This window comes from Homo sapiens, chromosome 9 (assembly GCF_000001405.40).
Source record: "Homo sapiens chromosome 9, GRCh38.p14 Primary Assembly".
In the NCBI taxonomy this organism is placed as follows: Eukaryota; Metazoa; Chordata; class Mammalia; order Primates; family Hominidae; genus Homo; species Homo sapiens.
This window is the reverse complement of record NC_000009.12, coordinates 14,541,105-14,548,621: the sequence shown is the minus strand read 5'-3', so window position 1 is coordinate 14,548,621 and position 7,517 is coordinate 14,541,105. Positions and strand designations below refer to the sequence as shown.

At 42.8% G+C, this 7,517-nt stretch overlaps 1 annotated feature.

The window, feature by feature from the left end:
* Positions 980-1,582: an enhancer, noted in NCBI's record as "OCT4-NANOG-H3K27ac-H3K4me1 hESC enhancer chr9:14547038-14547640 (GRCh37/hg19 assembly coordinates)". NCBI's record gives its function as "activates a minimal SCP1, AML or CMV promoter by ChIP-STARR-seq in primed H9 embryonic stem cells {active_cell/tissue: H9 hESC(primed)}" and the evidence as "EXISTENCE:reporter gene assay evidence [ECO:0000049][PMID:30033119]".

Sequence of the window (7,517 nt, the reverse complement as noted above, 5' to 3'; positions counted from 1 at the left end):
ACACGGTGAAAGCTAATTGATAAGGCATTATTTGTAATTTCCAATCAACAATCCACCTATATGTTTACCAGAAAGACATATAGGTTGGTTAAATTCATACAACGGTGATAAAGTTTGGATGTGTGTCCCCTCCAAATCTCATGTTGAAATACATCCGCCAGTGTTGAAGGCGGGCCTAGTGGGAGGTGTTTGGGTTATGGGGACAGATCCCTCGTGAATGACTTGGTGTCCTCCCATGGCAATGAGTGAGTTCTTGCTCCGGTAGTTGATGTGAGAGCTGGTTCTCTAAAGGGGCCTGGCACCTCGTCCTCTTGTCTATATTTCTCCCTCTTTCTGTCTTGCTCCATCTCTCTTTCTTGTTCCCTCTCTCGCTGTGTGACATACCTGCACCCTCTTCACTTTCCACCATGAGTAAAAGCTTCCTGAGGGTTCATCAGAAGCTGAGCGGATGCTGGTGCCATACTTATACAGCCTGCAGAATCATGAGCCAAATAAACCACTTTTCTTTATAAATTACCCAGTCTCAGGTATTCCTTTTAGCAACTCAAAACTGACTCAGAAAATTGGTGCCAAGGAGTGGGGCATTGCTACAAAGATACCTGAAAATGTGGAAACAGCTTTGGAGCTGGGTTACAGGCAGAGGTTGGAAGAGTTTGGAGGGCTCAGGAGACAGGAAGACAAGGGAAAGTTTGGAGCCTCTCAGAGCCTGGTTAAGTGGTTGTGAAGCATTCTAAAATGCTTTTAGAAACATGAATGGTGAAGACCAGGCTACCAAGGTCTCAGATGGAAATGAGGAAGTCATTGGGAACTGAAGCAAAGGTCACCCTTGTTATTCCTTAGCAAAGAACCTGGCGCATTGTGTCCATGCCTGAGGGATTTGTGGAAGGTTGAACTTAGGAGTGATGATTTAGAGTGTCTGTTGGAAGAAATTTCCAAGCAGAAATGCATTCAGGAGGTGGGGTGGCTGCTTCTAACGACTTACATTCAGATTTGGGAGCAAAGGACTTAATGTTGGAACTCATAGTTAAAAGGGAAGCAGAGCGTAAACATTTGGAAACTTCACAACCTGGCCATGTGATAGAGAAAGAATCCAAGCAGGCTGTGGAACAACCGCTTGCTGAAGAGATTAGCATGACTAAGAGGAAGCCAGGTGCTAATAACCAAAACAATGGGGAAAAGGCCATGAAGGCATTTCAGAAGTCTCTGAGGCAGCCCCTCAGTTTGGGGAGCCAGGCCCAGAGTGCTACTACTGCTCTCTGCTGCCTCAGGAGGCTACTGCTGCATCCAGTCTGCTGCATTTCCAGCCTCAGCTCAAAGGGCCCAAGGTACAGCTCAGGCTGCCACTTTGAAGAGCGCAAGCCACTATAAGCCTTGGAGGTTTCTACTTGGTATGCAGAATACAAGACTAAGGGAGACTTGGCAGCTTCCGCCTAGATTTCAGAGGAAGTATCAGAAAGCCTGGATGCCCAGACAGAAGCCTGCGGCAGGGGCAGATCCCCTTCAGAGAACTTCTGTTAGGGCATGAGGGGAAATGTGGGGTTGGAGCCCCCACACAGAATCCCCACTGGGACACTGCCTATTCCCCACACAGAGTCCCCATCAGGACACTGCTGTGCCCTTCAGACCCCAGGATGGTAGAGCCACAAGCAGCGTGCACCCTGAGTCTGGAAAACCGGCAGACACTCAACTTCAACCAATGAAAGCAGCCGTGGGGGCTGTACCCTGCAAAGCCACAGAGGCGGAGCTGCCCAAGGCCTTGGGAGCCCACCCTTTGCCCCAGTGTGGCCTGGATGTGGGACATGGAGTCATGGGAGGTTATTTTGGAGCTTTAAGGTTTAATGTCTGCTCTGCTGGGTTTCAGATGTGTGTAGGGTCTATTGCTCCTTTCTTTTGGCTGATTTCTCCCTTTTGGAAAGGGCATGTTTACCCAATGCCTGTACCACCATTGTATCTTGGAAATAGATTACTTGTTTTTTACTTTACAGGCTCAGTCTCAGATGAGACTTTGGACATGGGACTTTGGACTTTTGAGTTGAGGCTAGAATGAGTTAAGACTGTTGGGAACTACTGGGAAGGGATGATTGTACTTTGCAATATGAGAAGGATATGATATTTTGGGGACCGGGGACATAATGATATAGTTTAGATGTGTGTCTCCTCCAAATTTCGTGTTCAAATGTAATCTCCAGTGTTGGAGATGGGCTTAGAGGGAGGTGTTTAGGTTATGGGGCACATCTCTCATGAACAGCTGAGTGAGTTCTTGCTCTGGTAGTTTACAGGAGAGCTAGTTGTTTAAAGGAGCCTGACACCTCCCTCTCCTCTCTCTCTTACTCACTCCCTAGCCATGTGACATGCCTGCTCCTACTCTGCCTTCCATCATGAATAAAAGCTTCTTGAGGCCTCACCAGAAGCCAAGCAGATGCTGGTGCCATGCTTATACAGCCTGCAGAGCCATGAGCCAAATAAACCTTCTTCTTTATAAATTACGCAGTCTCAGGTATTCCTTTATAGCAATGCACGATGGCCTAATACAAATGAAATATGAGACTGCTGTTAAAAATGATGATGTGGATTCATATTTACTGACATAGAAAACATCTTGATGTGCTAAGTGAAAAAAAGACAATTATGAAACAGTATGTCGAATATGATTTCTTTTTGTTTTTAACTATAAATGTGTCTGCCAGGTTATACTCTAATGTTAAGAGTGGTTATTTTTGATGATTTCTTAAATTTTAAAAATAATTTTTTTGCTTATATCTGTTGTCTTATCTGTCTACTTGGATTAAAAGAAATAATAAGAGTTTGGGTTTTTTTTGAAGAGAAGAAATACTGAATCAAGTCTGATTTCTATAAGTAATATTTTAATTAACTGACAATTTTATTTTAATTGACAACTAATAATTGTACATATTCATGGGGTACATAGTGATGTTTTGATATATGTAATGTATGTATCAGATCAGAGATATTAGCATATCCATCATCTCCAACATTTATCATTTCTTTGGGAACTAGCTTTTTAAAAAGCCATCATCTGTATATACATCCGGCTCCCTAGCACCGTCTTCTTTCCATTTCTCCCCTCACCTCTGCTTTCTGAGACTTCTTTTGCACCCCTGCCCATGGGCTCTGCTTCTGTGTCTCTCTCTTTCCACTGTCCTCTCTGTGGTTGTTGGCCTCCATGAAACATTCATTATTATTTAATTTTTTGCCTCTGTCACAGCCCTTTTCTATCCTACTCGGGTTCCCATGAAGGATCTGTGTTCGTGAATGAGATCTGAGAGCACTTGGCTGCAGACGTACTTTTGTCTTCTCAGGAGGCAAAGTAATGTGAGAAGACCTAGGATGGAAAGAACGTTACAAGTGCCCAGGGATAGTATTGATATGGGTGGCGGGAGGCGGCAAAATTAGTGCATGAGAAAAAATGCCTTCTGGCTCAACGTAAAAACATAATGCAATGATAACACATTGCACTTCCCATTCTCCCCAGTGCCTGCGTAGTGTTTTTATTATGACTTTTATTAAATAGCTCAATATCCTTTCCAGAGTGTATGTAAAATTCTGACTAATCTTGAGATAAACAATCCCTTTTTAGTGATGGAAAAACAGATTACCAAAATGATTAGGTGATATGTCTTTGGACAGAAGAAAACCTGATTTTAAACTCTGTCTCCTGATTATTACTAGTGAGCTAAGTACTTTAAACTTCCACAGTTAGGAATTCTGAAAGGAATGGCGTGGCCATGCCGATGGTCTTTCCACAAGTAAAATGTCATTTTGCTATGGAAAATTTAAAACATCAGTGATGAAAAAGTAACAACAAATAGTCTCAGATTGGGAAAATAACACTAGTGTTTGTCTCTACTTTTCTACCAATCTCCGTGTATCTGTATTTATTCACCTTTCCCTCCGTACATGATGTGGAAACAAATTTTTTAGGTGGGTTTACACAGGTAAAGTTACCACGTTTATGAGGCATTTGAGGCAGCCTGTGAGCCTTTGTATCAGGTTTTCCAAACAGTCAGTCAAAATGCTAAGTGATGCAATGTAATTATGTGGTTTTGTGAGCTTTGGGATAGTTTTTATTTTTTTAATTGGTTCAGCCCCATGTTTTCCCTAATGGTTACAAATGATTAGAGGCTTGGAGCTATGACATCTGCTTAGTGGAAGGTGATCCTGCCCTAGTAGTCATTCACTGTGCCTGGGAGAAAAAAGTAGTGTTTAATATATTATCAGTGTAAATGGTTGCACTGATGCTAAACTGAAGCAACTATTATTAACTGTGGGTGTGTGTTAATCCATAATTACAGTCGAACCTCTTTCTTGGAGTCACCAAAGATTTATCTTGGGTTGTTTAATACCATGCAGTAAGTATGGGAACAAATTCCTCAAAGCTATATATAATCAGACTGAAGCACATTTCTCTTCAATGTGTGTTCTAAAATGTGTACACAACTGTCTATCCTTTATTGGAAATTCATATCTTATTGGCCTATGCCTTTTTCTGGCTGTTTCTCATTGTAACATCACCTTTAAGTCTAAATATATTGAAGGAGCAGATAGATATGACAGCAAGACTAAAATAATGTGGTTTGTGCTAAACACTCTCTTTTTAAATCATGTAGAAATTGTCTCACGGCTCTGGTAAATGCCCCTTTTTCTCTACCCCTCCCTGAAAGAGAAGTTTGGAGGCTGAATTACAAGTATTATGGGACTGGGTGGGTGTCAGTACTGAGATTCAAAAAGAGAACAGTGCACCAGTTTACTAAGTCGAACTAGTGCTTCCAAATAAGATGCTCAGGAACTCATTGTTCCTCAAATCTTTATGACCTATTATGTGCCAAGAATTGTGCTGGGTGCTCTGAATACACATGTCCTAGGCCCTGTTTTTATGAAGATGTGGCTGGAGTCTAGCTGGAGACACAGGTAAGCAAGCATATCTGCATTGCAGTGTGATTCGTGAAGATCACAGAGGAAAGTATGCATTGCAAGTATTGGCCAACTTAGGTGGGTGAAGGCCAAAGGGGTCTTCAGAGAATAAATGGTGATCATAGACACAGAGGCCTCCAATACAGGCGTTGGAGCAGGTCTGGATGCAAATCACACTTCTACAGAACTTATTCCATGAGCCTGGGCAGATTTTCTCATCTACACTCAACTTTGTTTTCCTTATCAGTAGAAAGGTAATAGATAATACTAGTGGGGCAATACATGTGAAAGTTTAGTGCAATCCCTGGCACATAGTGAAATCTTATTAAATGATAGTTATTATTATTATTATTATATTGCTCACCGCCCCCACATTAGAGACGAAACGGATGGAAGCCTATGGGGGAGAAGTCTGTTATCGCAGTGCACGCAGCTGTGTGAGAAGGAGCATGGCTTTCAAACTCTCTGTCCACATTTCTCCAGTTACACAATGACACCTGGGAAGCTGAGCCCTCTGAAAAGCCAGCCTTCTCTGAGCATCTTTTAGACTTTGTCTAGTGTGTGCCACTCTGCAAAACAACAAATGAATGGCCACGTTGCCTTTGTACTTGTGGAAATGACATTTGTCTGGTAGGGCAAGGGGTTACTATTCTTTCTCTGTGAATATGGTCTGAGATGGGCAAAGTGGGGAAAGCAGAGGAGGAGATGGAGGAGAAAGAAGGGTGGGAGGCAGAAGGGCAGCAGGATCAGAGAAAGAGCCCTTTATCTCCAGCCACGGACACTAAAAACCCAGTGTAAAATTGGCCTGCTGTCTCCAAAGCACTTAAAGTAGCATTGAGTCATCTTTCTTTTCCACCATCTCCTTGTGTTGGAATGAGAAGGGGAGAGGAAGTGGGTCCATTCTGAAACACTGACTTTCACCATGAATAGGGCAGGGGTTCTGTTTAGAGGCAGGAGGTCCAGATGGGACTTATGAATGGATTCGGCCTGAAGGGACAGTGATGAGGCAGGAGAGGAGGTTTTGGGGTTTTGTTTTTCAAGTGTTGTTTCATTTGCAGAATTTATGGTAAAGTGCATAAGTCAAAAACAAAATGGCTCTCTGTTGGCCCAGACATCTGTGGAGTTCTTTGATAAGCATCCCTTGTACTTTTCCAAGGCTACAGAGATCCCTAGAAGGCAGCAAGAACAGGGCAGCGGTGGTGGCGTTTGAGGCTGAGTACCTTGGTGATGCAGGGAGATGGGAGTGAAGGAGGACACCTGTGCTTCCTACAGCTTACTGGGACTTTGAAAGCTGAAGCACAGCCTGTCAGAAACCTTGTTCAAATGCCATCCTCCTGGGAAATCCCTTCCATTTGTGCAGCCCTCCACAGCGTCTTCATCCAGACCTCCCGCCAGCACCACACAGCAGGAGCAGGTGCAGGCGAGGACCCTGCAGTGTACAGAGGCTGAATGATAATGTGCTGTTGTCAAAGTTAGTGAATGGCAAAGCCGGGGCTTGAATTTAGGTTCTTTTGATTCTAAGCCCAGTTCTTTTTCCTCAGTGTTCAGGCCTGCTATTGTGTGTAAATGTGAATTAGTTCATGAACAGTTGGTCAAAGAGAAATGATGTTGGTATAAGGAAGACATAGTGTTGGCTCATACATGATTTATCTGAAGGGACCTCAAATAATAACAGTAGAATGAAAATATTCATTGGGAAAAAGAGAAACCCTTAGCTTGGCTGCTGCACGGGCATCAGGAGTCCCTGTCAATTGTATTTTTACAGATTCAAAATAGGAACTGACCTCTGTGCTGGCAGGCCAGGCCTGTGTGGCTTCTGGCTGATGGCGACTTGCATTGCCTCCATGCCCACCTTCATGGGTGGCCCTACTGACTCACAACTTCACTTCTAATTGCATTGCTTTATCTCTTGTCAGCCTTGCTCTAATTTTCAGCATTTCTACCCCGTTATTTCTGTACATTTTTAATATGTGAAGTGAGAGTCTGTGGCCATGTTGGCGGCCTTGCAGGGCAGCAAAGTCTCTCCCCACCTACTGGTGATCATTGCTTTGGTTGGTGCTTCAGTTACAAAATGCAAAGGTTTTTAAAGGTCTGCCCCAAATTTATGTTTCTTATTAGCCCTCTCACTTAATCTCTCATCTTCTGATTAGGTATATGTATTTACTTTTATTAAACACACATAATCACATGGACTCATTACAAGAATGGGTTATATGGGGTGAATTCTACTACTTTCACTTTACAAAAAAAAACAAAAAAAAAAAACAGACTTTAAGAGGTTAAATAATGTTTTCAAGTGGTAGAATTGGAGCTGAACCCAAAGTCTGCCTGACTCCAATCACATTTGTGGTTAGTAGCTACCATATTGGGCAGCACAACTGTAGACTGTCGTGCTCTGCTCTACCATGTCAGTTTCCTGAGCTTCACGGCATTCTGAGCTTGCAATTTGTGGCATTTTAAAATATTGCAGAATGACCTGTCTGTTGGAATGCAGAATTGATGCTTTCAGTCACAGAATGGCTGTTCTATAAGAAACTTCTTGTTTTGCTCACATTTTTGCAAAATTAAGATTTAAAATTTAAAAG